Consider the following 26,480-nt stretch of genomic DNA (forward strand, 5'->3'; position numbering starts at 1 on the left):
ACGCAGAGAAGACCATGTAAGGATGCAGCAGAGAGAGATTTGAAGATGCCAGCCTTGAAGATGGGAGCAATGCAGCCAACGAACCAAAGAATCCTGGCAGCTGCCAGAAGCTGGAAAAGGCAAAGAATGGATTCTCCCCTAGAGTGTCTGGAGGGAGCACGGCCCTGCCAACACTCTGATTTTGGCCTAGTGGTGCTGATTTCAGACTTCTGGCCTCCAGAACTGAAAGAGAATAAATTGCTATTGCTTTATGTCACCAAATTTGTGGTAATTTGTTATAGCAGCCACAGGAAATTAATACAGCATGTAACAGTTTGGAAAGGACATAGGAGTAGGTATGCTGACTTACACACACACACACATCCCCCAAGGTGATGAAACAAAGGATACAGGGTCAAATCCAGCACTAAAGCGCATGCCATCCAGCAGCAGTATTTTATGGTGTAAATGTCTTAGTTCACTGGAATCCCTGGTGTCATTCAGTGCCTCTCACTCAGCATTTCCACACAGGCCCACCTCACACATGACACCACCCTTCACAAAGCTCTGCATAAGGACCAATCAGAACCTCAAGCTCAACACAGACAAGAGTTCTGTTGGAACTCTAGGAAGAAAGCCATTCTCTGAAACCTTTCTGGGGCTGGAGCACTTGTCAAGAGTAAACAGAAAAGGAATAAAGCTTGCCTCTTTTTTTGAAAAACCCAGCTGGACAATGGGCATATTCAATGGCCAAGGCCTCCTCTAATTGCTGGCTTGGGAAGAACTGGAGATAACTCAGCAATGGAGAGACAAGGAGGGCTCCTAGGGAACAACTTGGAGACCGAGGAATCTTGCTGAATGCCAGCAGGTTGTAGACACCAAGTGGTGGCTCTTTAGTTGCCATTAACAGCCCTGAGGATTGAGTGCGGATCTATTTCATCTTGAGAAGTTAATATTATTTAATCACAGAAAGTAAAGGCTCCATGTAATTTCATTGGAGCAATCAATGAAAGCATGAGAAATGCCACGCCAGGTCATAACAGTAAATACCCCCAGCACCACATTCTGGCTAGCAGAGGTATCAATGGAGGTCTGTGGGTAGACACTCTCAAAAGGTTAGGAATGTGTACTTCTCTCCCTTCCCGAACAACTCTAACTCGTCTAAAGTGTGACCCATTAGCACCATTAGCATCCACTAGTTGTGTAATCCTTTGGTTTGAGAATTTAGGGCAAGAACTCTGGCTATTATATTTTCTGCTTAGATGCTGAAAAAGGCAGGGCTTCCCTTCATAGTTCAGAATGGTCAGTGGTACCTTCATAAAGTCCTTAACAACCAGTCCCAGATTAAGGTCCCTGTCAGCACAAGCCTTGTCCAGGTGACAGTTTATTTTCTATTGCCCTTCCATACGGAGAAGAACAATGTGAGCTGTCCCAGTGACCACTATATTATGCTACTTCTGATTGTGTTTGCACAGGCTGAATTAACCTCCCTGTGATTTAGAAGTGGAAGGGTCTGAATTTCATTATAGATACAACTTCCATGTTCTTCTCCTTGGCTGGGGCACAGGGATTTTCTTGGAGGGGTCTTGTCATTACTATGCAGATTGCTTTCCTATCATTTGATTGAAATTTCAGGAAGAAGGAAGGTCATTAATGTAACTTCTTCCTCAATTTCTCATTTTAGAAAATCTGGAAGCAGAGCCAGTATAATTCAGCATTACTGAGCCCACTGAGCTCTCCAGGGAAGTATAAATTGAGCACAGAAGCTCTGAAATGGATTGTAACCACAACATCAGAGGTATTCTCAAAAGATCCATTCTCTTGGAAAAAAGTTTGCCAAGTGGAGCTGGATCCACAGCTGCCACTCAAGGCCTGTTTTCCGCAGAGCGCTGTTAAAGAGATTTTACCTGCTTCATAACCCATCCAGTTGTGTAAAGCAGAGGGTGTGAGGGCAGCCACTGCAGGGGTGAGTGCGTGGGTCATTCTATGGGTCTCTTCAGAAAGAGAGCTGCTGTTATATCAGACCTACAAGAAGCAAGGCATGTGTTTCCCAATGCACCACCCTGTCATTTTACCCCCAGAGCCTATTTGGCATCAGCCACCATAAGTAAGGCAAATCTGTTGAAGGCAAGAGACTTGTCAGGCCAAGTTCCCACCACGGCTTTTAGCTCACTGTAGCCTGAACTGGACATACTGTTGTGATTGCACTTCATTCTCCTTACTTAACCAGGATATCAAGAGCGATATAAAGGACATTTACTGAAGTATCAAAATAGTATGAGATCAGAAAGAATCTAAATATCTAATAACAAAAGACTGATTAAACTACAGTACATCTATATCATGGGATACCACACATCCAGTTAAAAAAAAAAAAAAAAGACATGGGCCGGGCGTGGTGGCTCACGCCTATAATCCCAGCACTTTGGGAGGTTGAGGCGGGCGGATCACTTGAGGTCGGAGTTTGAGACCAGCCTGGCCAACATGGAGAAACCCTTTCTCTGCTAAAAATACAAAATTAGCTAGGCGTGGTGGTGCCCACCTGTAATCCCAGCTACTCAGGAGGCTGAGGCGGGAGAATCGCTTGATCCTGGGAGGCGGGGGTTGCAGTGAGCCAAGATCATGCCATTGCACTCCAGCCTGGGCAACAAGCAAAACTCCGTCTCAAAAAAAAAAAAAAAGAAGAAGAAGAAAAAAGAAAGAAAAAAGAAAGACAGGGATTAACATAAACCATATGAAATTACTTCAAAATATATTAAATGAAAAGGGTAAGGTGCAGAAACTATGTATCATGGGAACACTTCAGGTAAATACAAAATTATTTGTAAATGTACATATCTATATACTAGTATAGAAATGTTATACATATAAATTTTATGCTAGACATTTTTTTTCCAGAATATTCAAGGAAGCGTCAAGAGTGGTTGCTTTTGGGGATATAGAGCTTCTTACTTTTACTTCTTTCTATATTTTTTAATGCTAAGTATATATTGTTCTTAATTTTACTTTCATAACAGCTTTCCAAAGTCTCTCCGACCATCCCTCAGAAGGCTTTCCAGCCTCTTCCTCTTGACTCCAGGGTACCTTCTATGGTTATGTAGGCTGCATTCTGAATGTAAGCTCCTAGCCCATGGGACAGAATCCAGTCTGAAGCACGCTTGTCTAGCTGTGAACCCTGTCACTGTGCTGTATCCACTTAGAGGCACATCTTTTTTTAATTCTCCAAAATGCCACCATATGCGCTGGTGGCAGCTCTGCACAGCTCTTCATTCTACCTTTCCCTACCACCCACCCTTTATTTCTGCCACAGTTTGATTTGGTTCTTGCTTCTCACCTACCCTCTTCAGTTTACCTCTTCAGAACATCCCTCATATCCTGCCTTCCTACGCTTAGCCCAGGAATCAGTGAAACTCCAGGCCCATCCACTGCCATGCCCAGCCCAGGCCTGAAATCAAGCAGCCCTCCCAATTTACCCGAAGGGAAGCCATGCTAAGGTGCTCCTGTTGCCCCAACTTCTGCATGTGTACCTGCTGGTATTTATCATGCATAGTTTATGGACAGCAGCTCTAATTATCCACACAAAGGGCAGTGGGTATTGGCACATATCATTCAAAACAGCAGATGACCACAAAATTAGGGCTTCAGGAAGTTGTCCTTGGAAGGTCATTGGTGATTCTTTTTAATATAGATTTTGCCACCGTAGATTTACTCGAATTAAAATTAACTCATATTCTGTTTCGTATCTACTGAATGTAGTAGGACTGAAGTAAAAAAAATCTACCAGCAATTAAATTGACCAGGGATAAAAAAAAAAAATGTGTTTGGGACAATCTGCCTAAAGGGGGCTATATTTAAAACCACATTTAGATTTTTCCTTTCTGTTTTAACATAGGAGCCTTTTCTCAATACTAATATTCAACCTAAGGCCAAAGTACACTTTCTTCAAACGTTTTTCTTATCTTTTATAAAAATCTTGTGTGAGTGCATATGCTATTAGTGAAATTGGTTTTACAAAGCACCCAAAACCTACTCTTATTTAGTTGTAGCCACTTGAATGTCTGTCAGCTTCAACTCAGTTTCTTTGCTGCTCCAGTCTTTGAAGGGAAACATCACCAGCTTATTGATCTTTACATTGCTGGCACTAAATACCATTATTTCGGCTTGCTTCTTTGTCACAACTATAAACATAAATGAAACTTCACATTTTGACTGTTGACTTAAAGGCTTACGGTACCAGAAGGATAAAGGTTTCCAATATATTAATTATAATCACTAGGGGTGTGTGTGTGTGTGTGTGTGTGTGTGTATGTGTGTGTGTTGGTGGGGGGGGCTTGTTTTGTTTTGTTTTTCTTTTGAGATGGAGTTTCAAAAGGCTGCAGTGTAGTGGCGCAATCTCGGCTCACTGCAACCTCCACCTCCCGGGTTCAAGCGATTCTCCTGCCTCAACCTCCTCAGTAACTGTGATTACAGGCATGCACCACCACGCCTGGCTAATTTTGTATTTTTAGTAGAGGTTGGGTTTCTCCATGTTGGTCAGGCTGGTCTTGAACTCCCAACCTCAGGTGATCTGCCCATCTCGGCCTCCCGAAGTGTTGGGACTACAGGCATGAGCCACTGTGCCCAGCCGTGTGTGTGTGTGTGTGTGTGTGTGTGTGTGTGTGTTTACTCATCTTTTGTAATGGTTATGCTTGACTTAGCATATTGGCACATTTTATCAGAGTAATATATATCCACAAAGCCATACTGCTCCTACATGTGAGAATTTAGTTTACGCATTTATGAATGGGTCTATCCGTATCCATTCATGAATGGACATCTTCTCTAAAAAGTATAAAATAGATTATTGTATTCTACAACTATGAGAGCATTAAGAAACAGTAAGTTTTCTTTCTTTCTGTTTTTCTTATTTTCATGGGGTCTCTACTGCCCTGCATGTGGCAGTCTGTATGCTACATGTGATCCCAGAATTTCTACCTAAGGAAGGAACAAGAAGTATCTACCTAGCCCACAAAAAGACATGACTCTAGCAGCAAACTGCAGCTTGTAGCTCCCAGATAAGTTTGTCAGGATGGAAATGTCAATTTGAGCCAGTGTGCTTTCTGTTTTTATAAGACAATTTAGGGAGGTGGAATGGTTGTCACAGCGTAGGAGTTGTTATCAAGAGTTTTAAATTCAATTGAGAAGGAACCAGGAGGTACATACATAAGCAAGGAATGAGAAAGGCATTTCATAATTTAGCAAGAAACTGACACTTCCCTCTTATCCTTTACTGCAAATATTTTTTCTTTTTCTTTTTTTGACAACTGTTATAGTTTTACTTTATTCTAGTTAACTTCTTTTTTTTTAAATTTTTTTAGTGTTTATTGATCATTCTTGGGTGTTTCTCAGAGAGGGGTATTTGGCAGGGTCATAGGACAATAGTGGAGGGAAGGTCAGCAGATAAACATGTGAACAAAGGTCTCTGGTTTTCCTAGGCAGAGGGCCCTGCCGCCTTCCGCAGTGTTTGCGTCCCTGGGTACTTGAGATTAGGGAGTGGTGATGACTCTTAACGAGTATGCTGCTTTCAAGCATCTGTTTAACAAAGCACATCTTGCACCGCCCTTAATCCATTTAACCCTGAGTGGACACAGCACGTGTTTCAGAGAGCAGGGGGTTGGGGGTAAGGTTATAGATTAACAGCATCCCAAGGCAGAAGAATTTTTCTTAGTACAGAACAAAATGGAGTCTCCTATGTCTACTTCTTTCTACACAGACACAGTAACAATCTGATCTCTCTTTCTTTTCCCCACATTTCCCCCTTTTCTATTCGACAAAACCGCCATTGTCATCATGGCCCGTTCTCAATGAGCTGTTGGGTACACCCCCCAGACGGGGTGGCGGCCGGGCAGAGGGGCTCCTCACTTCCCAGACGGGGCGGCCGGGCAGAGGCGCCCCCCCACCTCCCAGATGGGGCGGCGGCTGGGCAGGGGCTGCCCCCCACCTCCCGGATGGGGTGGCTGGCCGGGCAGGTCTTTTTTTTTTTTTGAGACAGTCTCTCTGTCACCCCGCCTGGAGTGCAGTGGCTCCATCTCAGCTCACTGAAACCTTTGCGTCCTGGGTTCAAGAGATTCTCCCACCTCAGTCTCCCGAGTAGCTGGGATTACAGGTGCCCACCACCATGCCCAACTAATTTTTGTATTTTTAGTAAAAACAGGGTTTCACCATATTGACTAGGCTGGTCTGGAACTCCTGACTTCAGGTGAAGTCCACCTGGCTTGGCCTCCCAAAATGCTGGGATTACAGGCGCGAGCCACCACACCTGGCCTACTACAAAGATTTTTAAAAATCAGTGATGATAACTGTAATTGCTAACAGGTATGCCATGTAGAGATGACCAGAGTTGTTCTGTGATGAGAGGAGCCTTGTTTGTAACCAACTTATTGCTTCATGCCTGAGAGCAAAAGTGGCTTAGGTTTAGCTGGGGTTAGATCTAGGGACTGGCACTTACTAACTATGTGACTTTGGAAAAGAGGCCCACTTCGTTACCTACAATATGGGGTTCATAATAGTGCCTATCTAGTAAGGTGACTGAATGGATTATGGCTAACAATACATGTGAAGGGTTTAGCACAGTGCCTAGCACATAGTAAGTGCCCAATAAAAGTTTATTTACTGTTTTGCTTAAGTATTTGAAAGCAGTTTACCTTGTTAAGTAGGCTAACCCATTTTGAATATTTTTCAACAAATGCTCTCTTCCCAAAACATATACAAGTAAACTCCAATCAAGTCTGGGTGAAATTATTATAAATTCCATATTAGTGGTGACCTAAATAAATGAGGTGTCACTGTTTTCCACTATCTGTGTCAATACTTCCCTCCTTTTGTACAGATCATTGAGAGCTGAATTAGCCTAAATAGAATGTTAAAGTTGTAATGCCCAAGTGGACTTATTTAAGGAGTGATTATGGCTAGAAAGTGGTCTGTAAAAATAACTCTCGCCCTTACATCACATCACTTGCTTCCTGCGGCGCCTTGAAGTTGTCCTGACAAACAGGCCTGCCCTCCTGCAGACCCAGGATTCTATTCTGCCTCACACATCCCTAACACAACTGCCAGCTGAGTTCTAATTGCAGAATCTTCATTACCAGGGATGATTGAAACTATAAAAAGAACCCAGCTGAATTTTTCACATCCTGCTGGGTGAGCACAAGGACCAGCTCTCCTGTTCCTGCTCCCTCCCCCAGCAATTATCCTTGGTACATGTGTGGTCTAGCTTCTGCAGGGAGCTCTGAGCAATTGATAGATGTTATCTTCCTTCTCCTCCAAACCTCCCTGCCAAGGAGGTGTGTTGATGACCGTGACAAATATGCCTGGTCTTCCTCCACAGCTGTGGAGACAGGAGGTTCATTTCTCAACCTTTCCTACCTAAGTATCTTGTCCAAAGTCACCTAGAAGTGACAGATCAGAGAGAGATAAGAATCATTTCTCCTAGCCCCCTAGGCCTTTGTGACAACCTATTATACCCTATGTGAAAATTTGCCTTTTTTTGTTTTGTCCTTTCTTATTTCAGTGAGCATTTCTAAAGCACCTGCTGAGTGCTCAGTACTGCATTAATTGTAGTGAAAGGGGATATCCAGAAATAAGAGGCCACCAAGGAATTTAAAATCTAGTTGGAAGGCAAAAGGCAGGACTGTTCTTGGTTCTGTAGCTAATAACTTTAAGAATCAAGGAAAAAATGTATGCAAATTTTACATAAAATTTATGCAAAAAATAACTTTTCCTATCTGAAAGAGAGAGAAAAAGAGCACATGTATCTGTATATTTAGAAAGAAAAAGAAATGTCTGGAAGGAAGTGCATCAGAAAAGTTAATGGTAGCCATCTCTGAGACGCTGTGTAACAAAACGTTTGAGAAGGTGGTCTCTGAAGACACAATGACACAATCTAGGTTTAAATCCTAATTCTGCCACTCACCATTGCCTTGTGCATGTTACGTTTCACCTAAGTTTCAGTTTTCTTACCTATACAATGGGATGGTAATTGTAGTATCTGCTAGGTTTGTTGTGAGGATTAAATAGGATAATATAGATAGAGCATTTAGCAGTGCCTGGCATTTAAATTCAAGTGCTCTAAAAATGTAACTGTTTCTAGTGATGAGATATTGAAGGAGAGGCATAAGAGGGGAAGTCTTCGAGGAGGCACGACTTGAACTGGTCCCTGGTGAATGGTGAAGACTAGAATAGTCAGAGGGGAGAGCCAGGGGTATTCTGGGTTAGGGAAACATCTTGAAGGAAGAGACAGAAAGGAGCCTCGGCTGTTCTCAAAAAGAGAGAGGCCTGTACATGAACTAAGAAAAAGGTTGCATAAGGAAACACACAGTGGAGACAGAAAGTTTCGTTGCTTTCTCTTTTGTCCCAGCCCCTACGCATGCACAGCCTCTCCCATCATCAACATCCTGCATCAGATTGGTATATTTGTTAAAACTGATGAGCCTACCTAGGCACATCATTATCACGCAAAGCCTATAGTTTAAATTGAGGTTCACTCTTGGTGGTGTACATTCTGTGGGTTTGGACAAATGTCTAAGGACTTTTATCTAGAAGGTCTGGTTTTTTCAACTCCCTGATTCCCCTCCACAAAAAGAGACACAGCAATTAAGACAGCAAACAAAACCAATAAACAAAACCACCTGCAGATAACATCTTGAATAAAACCAGGTATCAAGGCACCTCCATAAACTCCAAAATGTCAGAGGGTGAGGCCAAAGCACCAAGTAAAATGACCTTATTGATGTCAACAACAAATTAGAAGGAAGCAGAGGAAAGACAAGGAACATATGACAGTTCCAAGGGCCAGGGAAATCAGAGATGACTAATAAATACTTGGCCTCAAAAAGAGGGGACTCCACTAAGGGGATAAACTGAATAGACCCAGCTGAGGCTGGGAGGGGTCGACTCAGGCTCTAAATGGTGGTTTGTAGTTGGCCAACTTCCCCTTCAGGGGGAGATTCAAAATAGAGAAAACTTTTTAAATGATTCTGCCCGCCCCAACATTATTGAGAGGCAGAAAAATTGAGTTCTAGGCCAGTAGAGGGGTGGCATGTTCACTGTATGACTCTGGAAGCCTGCTGTGAGGAGGAGGGATGGACAGGAACAGAAAGGAATACCTCAGTGCCCTTTCTTTCTGCCTTCCCATCAAGACAGTACAACGCCTATGGAAAAAGAAAACAACAACAAAACCTCAACCAGTATCTAGGACAGAGCTATGAGGACTTAGATTATGGGGGCAGGGTCGCCTTATGAAGAGGCAACAACCAGCAATGATCAAACCCAGGCTCTGATCCGTTGACTCCCTTCATCCTCCTTACAATCAACAGGAATGACCCCAGTGAGAGGCTGAGATTAGGCTTCTCCCCTCTAAGTCAAATGTCCTGTCAAATAGCTGACACCTACATGGCAAAACGAAATTACAGTGAAAAATACCAGATAACTGAGGAATGCAACCACTAAAAGAAAGGTAATAAACTTCATCACTCCTACTAGATGGGATCGATGTTAAAAAATTAAAATAGGCCGGGCATGGTGGCTCATGCCTGTAATCCCAGCACTTTGGGAGGCCAAGGCAGGCGGATCACTTGAGGTCAGGAGTTTGTGACCAGCCTGGCCAACGTGGTGAAACCCCGTCTCTACCAAAAATATAAAAATCAGCCGGGCATGGTGGCACATGCCTATAATCCCAGCTACTCAGGAGGCTGAGGCAGAAGACTCACTTGAACCTGGGAGGCGGAGGTTATAGTGAGCCAAGATTGAGCCCCTGCGCTGCAGCTCGGGCGACAGAGTGAGACTGTGTCTCAAAAATTAATTAATTAATTAATTAAAAATTAAAATAGGCATAACATATACTATCAAAGAGAGAGATTATCGTATATTATTTGTTGTTGTTGGCTTTTTTTGTTTGTTTGTTTTTGAGATGGAGTCTCGCTCTTGTTGCCCAGGCTGGAGTACAATGGCATGATCTCGGCTCACTGCAACATCTGCCTCCCAGGTTCAAGCGATTCTCCTGCCTCACCCACCCACCCAAGTAGCTGAGATTACAGGTGCCTGCCACCATGACCAGCTAATTTTTGTATTTTTAGTAGAGACGGGGTTTTGCCATGTTGGCCAGGCTGGTCTCGAACTCCTGACCTCAGGTGATCCACCCACCTCGGCCTCCCAAAGTGCTGGGATTACAGGCATGAGCCACTGCACCCGGCCTGATCGTATATTGTTAACATGAAGTGAATACAATCATTTTTAAAAGAACCAAGCAAAAATACCAGGTAGAAAAAATATAACAGCTTAATTAAGGAAATTAAGTGAAGAGAGAAAAAGCAGAATAGATTCAGAAAAATTTGAATTTGTGAACACAAGATTCAGCTGAGGAACTTCACAAGGGACCAGGAAGAAAAAAGTGAAAAAAAATTAGAATAAAAATATTAACATCCATGTAATAGAAGTCCCAGAAGGAAAGACAAAGGAATTGTGGTAGATTGCAAAACTATGCTCCTCAGTGAATCTCACCTCTTACAATGCATGATCAATCCCATCTCACATTCATGCTGAACTTGATCATTTGCCTTATTTTGACCAGTGGGACATCAATAAATGTGATGCAAGCAAAAATGTGTTAAGTACATGTGCTTTGGGGTTGGGGTGGGATATGTGATCATGTAACTTACTTTAGCCAATGAAATACCAGTAAATTTGAAGCAAACAGGCTTAGTAAGCACTTGTGCCAAAAGCTGCTTTGACCATCTGAGGAAGCCTACTATAGCTTTCTTAAGGACAAAAGATCACATGGAGAGAGGGGCCTAGCCACTGCTGTCTAGATGAACCCAGCCCTCTGGATTCTCTTCAGCTGAAAGCAGCCACATGAGTATGGCCAGAGAAGAGCAGTGGAACCACCCAGCCAACTCACAGAACCACAAGAAATAACTGTTGTTCTTGCAAGCCACTAAGTTTTGGGTAATTTGTTATGTATTTAGCAATAGATGATTGATATGGGAGATAATATATGAGTAAAAAAGACCTAAAATTCCCAGAATAAAAGATTTTAGACGAAATAAATATTTTAGATAGAAAGACTAACACAATACCAAAAGAACAAGAAAAAAAAAAGGCAGAAAAAACCTCCCTTAGGATTTATAGTATAATTCCAAAAGGCAATTCTACAATCATGCAGAAAGAGAATATATGACTTACAAAGTAACACAAATACATTTGACATCATTTGTCTCAATTGTGACATGGGAATCAATATGTCAATGGAGTGTTATTTCCTTTTTTTTTTTTTTTTTTGAGATGGAGTCTCCCTCTGTAGCTCAGGCCGGAGTGCAGTGGTGTGATCTCGGCTCACTGCAACCTCCGCTTCCCGGGTCCTGGTTCAAGCAATTCTCCTGCCTCAGCCTCTGGAGTAGCTGGTAGCCGGGATTACAAGCACGCACCACCATGCCCAGCTAGTTTTTGTATTTTTAGTAGAGATGGGGTTTCACCATGTTGGCCAGGCTGGTCTTAAACTCCCTACCTCGTGATCTGCCTGCCTTGGCCTCCCAAAGTGCTGGGATTACAGGCGTGAGTCACCACACCTGGCATAATGGAGTGTTATTTTCAAGGAGTAAAAATAAAAGGACTTCTAACCTAGAACTAAACTTTCCCATTTAAATGTGAAGATTCAATAAAGATATTCTTGGGTAAACAAGGCTAAAGGAACTTTAACATGCAAGAGACATTCCAAAAAATACTCCTTGGCTAAAAACTAAAATTAACTCATCAACTCAAAAAGTTAAATACAATAAAGAAGAAAAACAAAACCAAAATTGTTTTCTTCAAAAAGATTTGTAAGATAGACAAACCTCTGGCAAGAGTAATGAGGGAGAAAAAGTAAGATACAAATAAATAAGATATAGAATAAAAATGGAAAATAACTAAAAATATAATAGATTTTAAACATAATGAAAGAATATTATGAGGAATTATATGCTAATAAATTTGATTACACAAATAAAATGGAGGCAGAACTTTCTCAAGCAAAATTATTGAGGCAAGAAGAAATAAAAAATTGGAATCAACTATAATCAATTAAAATAGTCATCAATAACTTTGTACCTAAATGTGCACACACGCACACACACACACACCCCTCTTGCATGCACACCCACACATGCCTCAAGTAAATTTTACAAAACTTTCAAGGAATAGATACTCTCTCTCTTATCAAAGATGTTTCAGAAAATTTTAAAGGCCTGAAAGTTACCCAACTCATTTATATATAAACCGGGTTCCAAAATTGAAAGGACACAAAAAAGCATCCTGTATGCTAGCAACAGCCAGCTGAAAAATATAATATAAACAAAATACTATTTTCAATAGCAACAAAGTAATAACATATCTAAGAGTTAACCTAAAAAAAGAACCTCATAGAGAAAATTTAAAAACTCTATTAAAGGATTTAAATGTTTATGCACAAATAAAAAGACATACCATGTTAATGAATGGGGAAAGTTCAAAATTATAAAGAGGTTATTTCTCCTCCAACTTAATCTGCCTACTGTAATTTTAATATTTTAAGATCTTAAACATATACATGGAATTAAAGTTTATAAATAGCTGGTAATCTTGAAAATAATGAGTTCATGACAAGAGGGAGAGATGACAAAAGAGAAATAGGGCAGAACTCACTGTGGCAGATATTAAGTATAGAACATAAAGCTGTAATAATAAATATATTGATATACTGGAGGAAAAAACACATGAAGGTGTACTGGAGACAAGGAGATCAGCTGAACTCTCAGATGATCACAAAAGTACAGGCAAGGAGTGATGAGTCTCAGCATTATCTTGGTAGACTAGCAGTGGGAACAGCACAGCAGGGTCTGTGAGATATATTTTATCAAAAAGCCTTGAGGATTTCCCGACTGAATGGATATAGGAGTGAAGGAAAAAAAAAGATTGAGTTGTGCAATGGGAGATGAGTCTGACAAGATGGATTAAAGATAGACTGTGCGGGATCCTTTATAAGAAGTTAATCTTAGAAAGGTTAAGTGTTGGGGCACATAGGAAATGAATCAACAGAGAAAGAGGCCAATTAAGCTAATTGGAGAAACACCCATTAAACTGTTGCAATTGTCAGGTAGGGAATGATGAAGGATGGAACTAAAACTGTGGGAACTGGGATGGGAAGCGGAGAGGTAGAGATGAGAGATATTTAAAATGTTGAATCTAAATGACTTGGTATATTAGTTAAAGTGGATAGCAAAAGAGGAGAAGGGTTCAAGAAAGCTCTGAGTTTTCTAGCTTTGTTAGGAGGTAGGTGGCAGCAGCCTTAGTCAAGGAAATTCAGGGGTCACCATTTCAGCCAGAAGTCAATTTAACTTTGAATATCCAAGTTTGGATGCTTCCTACAAACGGGTAACCGGAAAGGAAGCTCTGGAACTTCAGAGAGAGTTTAGGCCTGCAGATATAGAATCGAGCATCTGGCCAGAGTTTGGGAAAGTAATAGAAGCCATGGATATGGCCATATTTCACAGGAAATGAACATAGAAGAGGAAAGTCAGGTGGTCGAGTTCTCCAGGAGTCTGTGGTCCCAAGGCAGAATCCAGCACTGCCTTTGAGAGGCCCAGGGAATGCCAGGAAAAGTGAGAGCCACACTTGGCAACTGTCACATCACATCTGCTCTCTGTGGCATGGTTTCCTCACTGACTATCAGAATACATAAATATATGTAGCACATCAAACAGACAAATCCACTCTGCACAGATCTGCCTAAATATTTAGACAGAGCAAAGCAGTGACAGAAATGATTAAGAAATTGAAATTCCAGTCACTAAAGGTGATCAGTGAAACAGAGAACAACTCTCATTTCAACCTCTCGTCATCAGACCCATGGTTGACTTGTCACTTCCAGAATGAGGAAAGAATAGTTCAGCAAATGTGGGAGGCTTTGTAGATTTCTGATGGTGTGTGGGTTAGCCCTTAATTCTCCTTTGGTGAATTTTCTTCTTGTGGCATTCCACCATCAGAGGTTAGACTGGGGAAGTGAGCAAAGGACAGGGGATAGGTGCAGTTAAAAGAATATTGAATTTGGCACCAGAAGATTGAGTTGAAGTCCCAGATCCACGGGTTACTACCAATGTGACATAGCCTCCCTGAACCTGTTCTTATCTGTAAAATAAGAATGTTAATTCCTGACCTGCCTACCTCCCAGGGCAGGTGAGAGTCGAGAGCTAATGTGTGCCAGTGGTTTTTGAACTGTGTTCTTCAGGGTTCTGGGCTTCCTCTCTGAGACCATAGGTGCCACAGCTACAAGGGGGAATGAGCTTAAGAGGTATAACCAGAGGCAGTGCTTTAGCTCCCCCATGCCTGGCTATCCCAAAGCAGCCTGACTTTTATTTGTATCTGCTACTAAAAATACAGAGGGCAAACTCACTGCCCTGAATTAATGTTGGATGAAAAAGAACATGTGGCTGAGCGTGGCTCACGCCTATAATCCTAGCACTTTGAGAGGCTCAGGTGGGCAGATCACTTGAGGCCAGGAGTTTGAGATCAGCCTGGCAAACATGGTGAAACACTGTCTCTACTAAAAATACAAGAATTAGCTGGGCGTGGTGGCATGCACCGGTAATACTAGCTACTCAGGACGCTGAGGCAGGAGAATTGCTTGAACCTGGGAGGCAGAGGTTGCAGTGAGCCGAGATCATGCCACTGTACTCCAGCCTGGGTGACAGCGCGAGACTCTGTCTCAAAAAAAAAAAAGAAAGAAAGAAAGAAAGAAAGAAAGAAAGAAAGAAAGAAAGAAAAACAACAAGTATCTGAAATGAGCTTTTTGGATTATCTGTGAACTGCAATTTCTGGTATCCTCTCTTCATTATCAGATAATTAAGAATTCATTGTATGTGATTTTTTATTATAATAAGTTGGCTCCTAGTACTATCCTAAATTACATCTCCTATAAGACCACAGATTTACTTATCGTGATTACGTCTATGGACCGGGTGCTGAGTTGCCAGGTGAAGACTGCTACCATCCTCTACTACTCCTGGTTTAATTGCAATGCCCCATCCTGCAGCCCAGCAGAACTGCTGTGAAGATGCAACGTCCCAGCTGTTCTCTACTGCAGAGACACCATTCAGGAGACTGAATCCCTGCTCAGCACAGAGTTCCTGGGGAAAAACTCAATTTCCCTCAAAGTTTTAACACAGGCCGGGCGCGGTGGCTCACGCCTGTAATCCCACCACTTTGGGAGGCTGAGGCAGGCGGATTGCCTGAGCTCAGGAGTTTGCCACCAGCCTGAGCAACACGGTGAAACCGCGTCTCTACTAAAATAAAAAAATAAAAAAAAAAAAAAAATTGCCAGGCGTGGCGGCGTGCGCCTGTAGTCCCAGCTACTCGGGAGGCTGAGGCAGGAGAATTGCTTAAACCCGGGAGGCGGAGGTTGAAGTGAGCCGAGATTGTGCCACTGCACTCCAGCCTGGGCGACAGAGTGAGACTCCGACTCAAAAAAAAAAATTTTTTTTAGCACATTATTTCACACCATTAGACCAAGCTCTATCACAAAAGAAGGTGCCAGGGACGAGAAGCAGAGCTTAGGTTTTCTGCAGGCAGATCATTAATGACTTTACTCTGGTGTGTCTTAACAGGGTTCCCAGGAGCTCAGGATCTGAATGGTCTGTAGCAAAGTAATGTGAAATGGGTTGACAAAGGAAAGAATCAGCTCTGCTCTAGTTTTACAAAGAGTGGCATAAATCTTGATCAAAATAGTGACCACAGGAGCTGGAGATAATTAATTATTATTTGTATATAAGAATATCATATGTTACTCACGAGTCCCTCCTTTATAGCAATAACACCCAATAAATGGTAGTCAGAAATAAAGGGAGTATTTACTTTAGGAAAGCTCTTAAATTCTCAATTATCTTAACCTCTGAAGACTGTAGGGCTTTCAATCCGCATCTCTCCAGGCAGTAGGTATTGTAGTCAACCCACTGTTTCCAAGGTCTGTTTCTACCTTCTCAGGGATACATCACACAGGGTTTGTCTCTCCTCAAGTGTTGCTTTCTCTAATGCCACCTGGTCATCCAGCCAGGACATGGGAGGAAGTATGGCAGATTTCGTCATTTCTTTCAACCAGGGAAAAGGGAGGATTGGAATAGTGTTTCCTAAAGTTGTGTTCAAGGCCTTGGTAGTTTCTGGATATTATTCTTTTGTCAGATGAGTAGATTGCAAACATTTTCTCCCATTCTGTAGGTTGGCTGTTCACTCTGATGGTAGTTTCTTTTGCTGTGCAGAAGCTCTTTAGTTTAAGTAGATCCCATTTGTTAATTTTGGCTTTTGTTGCCATTGCTTTTGGTGTTTTAGGCATGAAGTCCTTGCCCATGCCTATGTCCTGAATGGTATTGCCTAGGTTTTCTTCTAGGGTTTTCATGGTTTTAGGTCTAACATGTAAGTCTTTAATCCATCGTGAATTAATTTTTGTATAAGGTGTAAGGAAGGGATCCAGTTTCAGCTTTCTACATATGGCTAGCCAGTTTTCCCAGCACCATTTATTAAATAGGGAATCATTTCCCCATTTCTCGTTGTAGTTTCTAGCATTATAGGAAAATGAGAAAAGTTTTGGGTCTTGAAGTATGGGGAACAACAACACCCTATGTAGGAACTAAAGGGAAATTCCAGAATCCTTCCTTCATTTGCCCCAAGTTGGAGTAGGAAAGAGGCACACTGCCCTGTTGGCAGCTAGGAGAGCCATAGGATCCCAGCTCCCATCAGCTTGCATCATGGAGGTCTGGAGTGAGGACCATGTAAACTGAACGGCCGGGCCCAAAGTACAGAGTCCATACTGTCAGACCTCATTTGGAGATTTCTAGAACCTTACCAGGAACTCCACTTGCTTCTTCAGAGAATTTAAGAACACAAGAATTACCACATGAGCTCAAAACATGATCCATCCAGCTTAGAAGTTGCTTTATCATGAAAATTCCAGAGATGTGTTATGGCAGGACATGCTGCCCCCAAAGCCTCAAACCCCAGATGTCTTTAGCTATTGAGAGTATTTCTAAGAGCAAAGTCTCCATAATTTGGAAGAACGCTTCTATAGCATAGGCTGAGGAGAAAAACAGAAACTGGGAAGAAAACTAGTTAGTTGTGGAAAATCTATTTGTACAAAGCCCTGTGATAGGTTCTTTTACAATAAGCATCTTTAAGACTTTCAATAACCCTATGAATTGGGTAATATTACTGCCTATTTTCCACATGAGGAAACAGAGAATTAGAAAGGCCAAGCCCTGTGCCGAAAACCACATCACTAAAAAGAGGTAGACTGAGATTTTCTTCAGCCTTTGCATTCAATTAACTAATTGCTAAATCCTAGGGGTTCTGCCTCTTAAATAAGTCTCAAGTCAGTCTCCTCTTTGCCAGTTTCATTACCATGAGCCTGCTTCAAGTCTCCACTGTTTCGTTTTGACCATCGCAATGACCACTTAACTGGCCTTCCTACATGTGTCACTACCCCCGCTTTCCCCTTCCCTCCCCACCCCACTCCACCCACCACAGCATCCTTCACTCTAGCCATGTTTTGCCCATACCACTCACTACAGACTGTCTTAATAAAGTCTTTTTTCTTCCTTTAAGTCCCAACTTATGGCATCACCCCCTCTGAGAAGCCCACCCTGATATCTCAGGCACACTTAGAAGCTCCTCCCCAGTGCAGTACCTTGCGCGTGGGTCCTTCACAGCAGTGGTTGCATTGTAGCAGAACTGGCCCTTTAAGTGTCTATATCTCGCCAGACAGACACCAAGTCTCTTTTCATCCATTTATCCCCTGCACTTACACTGTCTTGCCTACAGTAGGCACTCGAGAACTTGTTGAATAAAATGAATGAATGGAATGAGTGAAATTTTTAAATACTTATCAAATCAAAGAAATGAGTAAATGAAATTTTAAACAAGTTATCTCTGACTCAAAAGCTACACTAATAAAAGAATCTTGAATCACTACTAGAATGTTAGATTTCTCTTGTAAACACAAAATGAACTAGAAAAATAATTACAGAGTAAACTTGATATGTAAAATTTGAATTTCAAACAGATGAAGTAATATTATTACTCACTTCAGCTACAAAAGGTACACATGGACCCATAATACATTATATTTATGCAACACTTCATAGTCTTCAAAGGATGTTTATATACTCTATTTCATTTGAATCTAACAGCAATCCAGTAGGGTAAAGCAGAGGAGGTATTTATTAACCCAGTTTTTCAGATGAGGAAACTAAGGATCAGGGAGGTTAAAGTGACATACCCAAAGTCACACAGAGGCAGAAATAGAAAAGATCCTGGCCGGGCGCAGTGGCTCACGCCTGTAATCCCAGCACTTTGGGAGGCCTAGGCAGGCGGATCACGAGGTCAGGAGATCGAGACCACCCTGGCTAACACGGTGAAACCACATCTTTACTAAAAATTAGCCTGGTGTGGTGGTGGGCGCCTGTAGCGCCAGCTGCTCGGGAGGCTGAGGCAGGAGAATGGCGTGAACCCGGGAGACGGAGCTTGCAGTGAGCCGAGATCGCACCACTGCACTCCAGCCTGGGTGACAGAGTGAGACCCCGTCTCAAAAAATAAAATAAAATGATAAATAAATAAATAAATAAATAATAGAAATAGAACAGATCCCAAGAATTCAAAGTGCAAGTTCATTAGTCTTGTCTACCAGGTGACCTCTGATAGCAGGCTTTGATCATTCCATTGACAGTGAAAAGGTGCAATGATTATCATTCTCACAAACTTCGAAAATCCCCTCCTGACTACAGGCAAAAGGGTCCCAGACATCTTAAGAGGCCAAAAGACTGAGGGCAGGCAACTCCTTCAGAGTCAAGACTCCATTCCGTTTGACAAGTCTCAATCTTCCTAGCAGACAGCTGACACTATGATTGATTCGGCTGCTCCATTGTCTCAAGCTCTAGGTTCCTTTCTGAACATTGTGGCCAGAAAGGATAGGTGGGGCAAAGTCAAGGCATGGGAGGAGGGCAGAGAGGTAGTGAGGGGAAATAGAGGCAGACAGACCTGGGTTCAAAATCTAGTTCCATCTCCTTCCTTTTCCAGATGGATATCCAATTGCTCTAGCACCAGTTGTTGAAAACACTTTTCTTTCTCCATTGGATTGCTATAGAGCTTTTGTTGAAAATCATTTGACTGTATGTGTAAATGGTCTGTTCTAAGGCACTCTATTCTGTTTTAATGATTTATTTGTTTCTCCTGATGCCATAGAGTCTTAATAGTGTAGCTTTATAATAAGTCTTGAAGCCAGGTAGTTTAAGTCCTTTAACTTTGTTCTCTTCAGCTTTTCTGTAGGCATCCTAGGTTCTTTGCATATAAATGTGAGAGTCAGTTGACAATTTCTACAAAAAACTCTAGTGAATCTATAGATCAATATGGGGAGAAGGTGATATCTTAACAATATTGAGTCTTCCAATCCATAAACATGGTATATCTATCTACTTATGTAGGTCTTTAAAATTTTCTCTTAGCAATGTTTTATACTTTACAGTGTAGAGATCTTGCACATCTTCTGTTAGATGTATTCCTAGGTATTATATGTTTTTGCTGTTATTGAAAACAGAATTATAGGTTTTATTTTTTTACTTTTCAATTATAATAACAGCAAATGTGAATTTACCTTGGAGTTAATACAGCTTAAGCTCCAGAGTTCTCCTTTGCAAAGGCCCTTTGCAAAACCTTCTGAGGTAGCCTAGCAGTTTTATAATCATAATTTTATATTATTTTTATTAAGTAGGGCCCTCCAAAATTGTACACCATCCAGATCACACAATACTTAGATTCATCCCCTGCCTGCTAGTAATGTTCTTGTCTCTCTGAGAGCCTCAGTCTTCTTATATCTAAAATTGAAATAATCTTTATCTATCTCCCAAGCTTATTTTTTCTAATGTGGTAAAACACACACACACAACAAAATTCGCTGGTTTTTTTTTATACTTTAAGTTTTAGGGTACATATGCACAATGTGCAGATTAGTTACATATGTATACACGTGCCATGTTGGTGTGCTGCACCCAGTGACTCGTCATTTAACATTAGGTATATCTCCAAATGCTATCCCTCCCCCCTTCCCCCACCCCACAACAGGCCCTGGTGTGTGATGTTCCCCTTCCTGTGTCCATGTGTTCTCATTGTTCAATTCCCACCTATGAGTGAGAACATGCAGTGTTTGGTTTTTTTGTCCTTGCCATAGTTTGCTGAGAATGATGGTTTCCAGCTTCATCCATGTCCCTACAAAGGACATGAACTCATCCCTTTTTATGGCTGCATAGTATTCCATGTGTATATGTGCCACATTTTCTTAATCCAGTCTATCATTGCTGGACATTTGGGTTGGTTCCAAGTCTTTGCTATTGTGAATAGTGCCACAATAAACATACGTGTGCACGTGTCTTTATAGCAGCATGATTTATAGTCCTTTGGGTATATACCCAGTAATGGGGTGGCTGGGTCAAAATGTATTTCTAGTTCTAGATCCCTGAGGAATCGCCACACTGACTTCCACATGGTTGAACTAGTTTACAGTCCCACCGACAGTGTAAAAGTGTTCCTATTTCTCCACATCCTCTCCAGCACCTGTTGTTTCCTGACTTTTTAATGATTGCCATTCTAACTGGTGTGAGATGGTATCTCATTGTGGTTTTGATTTGCATTTCGCTGATGGCCAGTGATGATGAGCATTTTTTCATGTGTCTTTTGGCTGCATAAATGTCTTCTTTTGAGAAGTGTCTGTTCATATCCTTCACCCACTTTTTGATGGGGTTGTTTGTTTTTTTCTTGTAAATTTGTTTAAGTTCTTTGCAGATTCTGGATATTAGCCCTTTGTCAGATGAGTAGATTGCAAAAATTTTCTCCCATTCTGTAGGTTGCCTGTTCACTCTGACGGTAGTTTCTTTTGCTGTGCAGAAGCTCGTTAGCTTAATGAGATCCCATTTGTCAATTTTGGCTTTTGTTGCCATTGCTTTTGGTGTTTTAGACATGAAGTCCTTGCCCATGCCTATGTCCTGAACGGTATTGCCTAGGTTTTCTTCTAGGGTTTTTATGGTTTTAGGTCTAACATTTAAGTCTTTAATCCATCTTGAATTAATTTTTGTATAAGGTGTAAGGAAGGGATCCAGTTTCAGCTTTCTACATATGGCTAGCCAGTTTTCCCAGCACCATTTATTAAATAGGGAATCCTTTCCCCATTTCTTGTTTTTGTCAGATTTGTCAAATATCAGATGGTTGTAGATATGTGGCATTATTTCTGAGGGCTCTGTTCTGTTCCATTGGTCTATATCTCTGTTTTGGTACCAGTACCATGCTGTTTTGGTTACTGTAGCCTTGTAGTATAGTTTGAAGTCAGGTAGCATGATGCCTCCAGCTTTGTTCTTTTGGCTTAGCATTGACTTGGCAATGCGGGCTCTTTTTTGGTTCCATATGAACTTTGAAGTAGTTTTTTCCAATTCTGTGAAGAAAGTCATTGGTAGCTTGATGGGGATGGCATTGAATCTATAAATTATCTTGGGCAGTATGGCCATTTTCACGATATTGATTCTTCGTACCCATGAGCATGGAATGTTCTTCCATTTGTTTGTATCCTCTTTTATTTCATTGAGCAGTGGTTTGTAGTTCTCCTTAAAGAGGTCCTTCACATCCCTTGTAAGTTGGATTCCTAGGTATTTTATTCTCTTTGAAGTAATTGTGAATGGGAGTTCACTCATGATTTGGCTCTCTGTCTGTTATTGGTGTATAAGAATGCCTGTGATTTTTGCACATAGATTTTGTATTGTGAGACTTTGCTGAAGTTGCCTATCAGTTTTAGGAGATTTTGGGCTGAGATGATGGGGTTTTCTAGATATACAATCATGTCATCTGCAAACAGGGACAATTTGGCTTCCTCTTTTCCTAATTGAATACCCTTTATTTCCTTCTCCTGCCTGATTGCCCTGGCCAGAACTTCCAACACTATGTTGAATAGGAGTGGTGAGAGAAGGTATCCCTGTCTTGTGCCAGTTTTCAAAGGGAATGCTTAATAATTAAGAGCTTACCAACCAAAAAAAGTTCAGGACCAGATGGATTCACAGCCGAATTATACCAGAGGTACAAGGAGGAGCTGGTACCGTTCCTTCTGAAACTATTCGAATCAATAGAAAAAGAGGGAATCCTCCCTAACTCATTCTATGAGGCCAGCATCATCCTGATACCAAAGCCTGGCAGAGACACAACAAAAAAAGAATTTTAGACCAATATGCCTGATGAACGTCAATGCAAAAATCCTCAATAAAATACTGGCAAACCGAATCCAGCAGCACATCAGAAAGCTTATCCACCAAGATCAAGTGAGCTTCATCCCTGGGATGCAAGGCTGGTTCAACGTACGCAAATCAATAAATATAATCCAGCATATAAACAGAACCAATGACAAAAACCATATGATTATCTCAATAGATGCAGAAAAGGCCTTTGACAAAATTCAACAACGCTTCATGCTTAAAAACTCTCAATAAATTAGGTATTGATGGGACGTATCTCAAAACAATAAGAGCTATTTATGACAAACCCGCAGCCAATAGCATACTGAATGGGCAAAATTCACTGTTTTAACCATTTTAAAGAGTACACTTCAGTGACATTAAGCACACAATGTTGTGTAACCATTACCTCTATCTGGAATTCTAAGTGCAAGTTCATCAGTCTTGTCTACCAGGTGACCTCTGATAGCAGGCTTTGATCATTCCATTGACGGTGAAAAAGTACAATGATTATAATTCTCAGGAACTTCTAAAATCCCCTCCTGACTACAGACAAAAGGGTCCCAGGCATCTTAAGAGGCCAAAAGATTTTAACCTTTTTAAATGGTTAAAATGGCTGGCCTTTTCAAATGGTTTTAACCATTTTAAAGAGTACAATTCAGTCATATTAAGCGCGCAATGTTTTGCAACCATTACTTCTATCTAGTTCCAGGACTTTTTCATTATGCTAAAAGGAAATCCTACAACTATTAAGCAGACACTACCCATTCTCCCTTGCAACAACTAATCTGCTCTATTCATGGGTTTGCCTTTTCTAGATATTTCATATGAATGGAATCATACAATATGTGGCTTTTTGTGTCTGGCTTATTAGCATAATATTTTCAAGATTCATCCATGTTGTAGTATGTATAATCATTTCTTTTTATGACTGAGTAATATTCTGTTGCAGTATACCACACTTTGTTTAACCATTCATCTGTTGACGTACATTTTGGCTGTTTCCATCTTTTGGCTATTGTGAATACTGTTGCTATGAACATTGTGTGCAAGTTTTTGTTTGTGCACCTGTTTCCAATTCTTTTGCATGTATACCCAGGAATGGAATTGCTGGGTCATATGGTAATTCTATGTTTAACTTATTGAGGAAACACCAAACTGTTTTTCCTCCTAGAGTTATTTTGAGGATCAAATGAGCCAACACATTTATAAAGCTTTTAGTATAGTGCCTGGCACATAGCAGGAACTCAATAAATCATTACTCAAAGATATAATTCAAATTATACACAAGTTATCAGCAATAGAGTACATCTGCTGTAAAATGTGTCATATGTTGGAGGGAACAATTAGTCCCTGCTCCTGATTTTTTGTGTGAAGTGACCTCCATTAGAATAACATTCCAAGCCTCTTGCTCCATCCCCTTTCTCATTCCTTCCAGAAAAAGAGGAATGATTTACCATCTGGAAGACCAAAGTAGGCCTGTTCTTGTCAGTCCATTTTACTGTTCCCTTGGGATCTACATGCCTGTAGGGAGCATGTATTTCAATCTCCTCTATAATTCTGTGCCGTAGAGTTCTAAGGGGCACGCCCCTATATTGGAGGTCTGAGGCTGTTTCACTCAAAGATTGGCATGGCAGATGTAGTGGGCAAATTTAATCTCAGGGCACAGTACTGGCAAGTATACTCGCTAATGGAGCCAAACCACCTTCTCTAAGCACCTTCATGAGTAATAAAGATTATATTTTTGATTTACAGCTGCCTGACCCCTGTGTATCTTACACAATTGGTTCTGTCAATGAGAAGAAAGGGATATTGTATATTGCTTCCCTCCAAAAAAAAAAAAAAAAAAACAAAACCCTGATATACCCAGGTAAATTAACAAGGCTGCTTCAATCCCCAAGTTCTTCTACTTCGAATCTAAGTAGGTTAAAAAACAAACTTTAAATTGAGATCAAATATAACGAGTGACTGTCTTTTTCAGAGAGTTTTTTATTCTTTGATCTTGGAAAAGTTAAAATTAAAATAGAAAGGCATTGGGCTATTCTGTGGTATTATTATAGTAAACCTTGATATAGAAAATGCTTTGCAAGCAATTCTCCATTGTGGAGAGCCTTTATTTCAACGTCCTTATATTCTTAAATTACCAACTTTGAGGTGGCATTCGTTTTCATTTTTGCACTTAGTAGAGCATAATATCACATTCACTCTTTTTTTCTCCTGGGGTGAATGCAGAATTGATAAGTAGTGAATGTCTTCTTTTAATTCAATTCAATAAACATTTATTGAGCACCTGCTATGTGCTAGGCACTGTGCCAGGCATTCTGGGGGAGACCAAAATGTGTATCCTTCAGTTTCATATGCAAACAGCTTTTAGTCTAGTGGCAAATGAAAAAAAATGATACCTACGTAAGTATGAGGCAAATTTTAGTTGATTTGGCTTTAAATGGGTTTCAGCCATTTGGTTTGGATGATTAAAATCTGATACATCTCTACAAAGGAAATTGGATTCAGAATTTTTATTTCATTGCTATTCCCATGCTAGTTATCCTCCCTTCTGTCAGACTAAATTTCTCTCTTTGGAAAATGACATGTTTTCTACAGTTGCAAACATATTCCAACCTATTCAACTAGTTTATTAGCTTATTTTATCTTTATGAACTAATCCTTTAAGCAGCTTAATTGAGTAATTTTTTGCTGCTATTATATTTTTCAGACAGGTAATAGGCAACATCAGGCTAGTGAATGAACAAATTAATGGATAAATAGAATTCCAGACTGAAACTCAGAAAACTCGAATTTTAGTTTTATCCCAAATATATCCTTTAGAAATTCCTTTCCCCAAAGTTACTTCTCAGGGTTTGGGATCACACTGTCTAAATTTATGTGTTTGTTAGGTAGATCGAAAGGTGTGGAAAACAACAACATCTAGAGTATTTATGTCCAGGAAAACCTAAGTATGAACATATTTCCATAGATGGATACATTGATCCATTCAAGGCCCAAATGAAAGGTGGCTGTAGCAAAATTATTTAAATGGGGCTATGAAGCCAGGCTGCTCAGCCTTGAATCCTGACTCTTTACCCTTCTAGCTGTGTGACCTTGGACAAGTGAGGTGACTCGGTTTCCTCATCTGTAAAATGAGGATAAATCGTATTGTCTGCTTCGCAGATTTGTTTTGGGGAATAAAAGTGAGTTAATATTTGCAAAGTACTTAGACCAGTCCCTGGCACATGGTAAAAACTCTGGAACCTCAGTTGAAATGCAGTCATGAGTTTGGGATACAGAAAGAGGGCTAAAAAATAGTGCCCCCAAAGGACATAAGAAGGTAGAAGAAGGTAGAATGAAGTGAAACAAAAGAATGGGCCAAATGAAGAGAAAGTTGTAAAAGAACACAAGGCAAGTGTTTGGCTCAGAGATAGATAGTGACTCCATTGCAGCGTATAGAAAGAAAGGACCCAAACCTTTTTGTTTCTTGTTCTATATGACCCTGTACAACTCACTTGACCTCCCTGTCCTCTAATTCCTCCCCTACAAAAAAGATGACAGGCAGTAGAAAGTAGTGGTTAAATACCAGCATCACCATTGACTAGCTGTGTGACCTTGGGCAAGTTACTTAACCTTTCTGGGCCTTAATTTCAACTGTTCCATGAGAATATTAATAGTTCCTAACATTGGGGCTCAGAAAATGATGCCCCAATCATGGTGCTTTGGCATGCTGAGTACTTTGAACTAAAGGAGATTGGAAGCCTCAGAAGCAGCCTCAGAACCAAGGTTTCTCCAACCTTCTCCTGCCCCTCAGTCTCTTGCCCCTCTTTCTTCCCCAAAGTGTCATCGAAACCAGAATTCCTCCTCCCCAACGCAAATCATAGAAACTGGAACACCTCTACCCCCAGAGAAAACCGTAAAACCTAGATATTTCTCTAACTTTCCCCTGCCTTTCTGTGTAGGAGCTGGTCATAAAGAAATTCTCTGACTTACTGTGTCTGATTATAGGTTATAAGACCCTCATTCCAGAGTGGTACTGCCCTGCGTCTGGGAAGAAGGAAGGCCACACAGAGAGACCAAGAAGAATCCTAACAGACAGGGCTTGCTTGGTTTCCCCCTCAGTCTCTTACCGTTAGATCAGACCTCTTTGGTCCTACCACGTTTCTACATGGCTGTCCATTCTTCATCGAATCTAAGAATAAAAATGGATAGTTTTCCCTG

The 26,480-nt window shown here is 41.0% G+C and overlaps 1 long non-coding RNA gene across 1 annotated transcript, besides 2 other annotated features; it reads left to right on the top strand.

The window, feature by feature from the left end:
* The first annotated feature begins 609 nt into the window (after positions 1–609).
* Positions 610–26,480, top strand: LINC01525 (long intergenic non-protein coding RNA 1525). Its single transcript, NR_126408.1, has 3 exons — positions 610–847; positions 1,664–1,777; positions 26,268–26,480. It is a non-coding gene; the product is annotated as a long intergenic non-protein coding RNA 1525 (long non-coding RNA).
* Positions 4,983–5,520: an enhancer, noted in NCBI's record as "NANOG-H3K27ac hESC enhancer chr1:117842461-117842998 (GRCh37/hg19 assembly coordinates)". NCBI's record gives its function as "activates a minimal SCP1, AML or CMV promoter by ChIP-STARR-seq in naive H9 embryonic stem cells {active_cell/tissue: H9 hESC(naive)}" and the evidence as "EXISTENCE:reporter gene assay evidence [ECO:0000049][PMID:30033119]".
* Positions 5,521–6,058: an enhancer, noted in NCBI's record as "NANOG-H3K27ac-H3K4me1 hESC enhancer chr1:117842999-117843536 (GRCh37/hg19 assembly coordinates)". NCBI's record gives its function as "activates a minimal SCP1, AML or CMV promoter by ChIP-STARR-seq in naive H9 embryonic stem cells {active_cell/tissue: H9 hESC(naive)}" and the evidence as "EXISTENCE:reporter gene assay evidence [ECO:0000049][PMID:30033119]".

Source organism: Homo sapiens, chromosome 1 (genome assembly GCF_000001405.40).
Source record: "Homo sapiens chromosome 1, GRCh38.p14 Primary Assembly".
Classification (NCBI taxonomy): domain Eukaryota; kingdom Metazoa; phylum Chordata; class Mammalia; order Primates; family Hominidae; genus Homo; species Homo sapiens.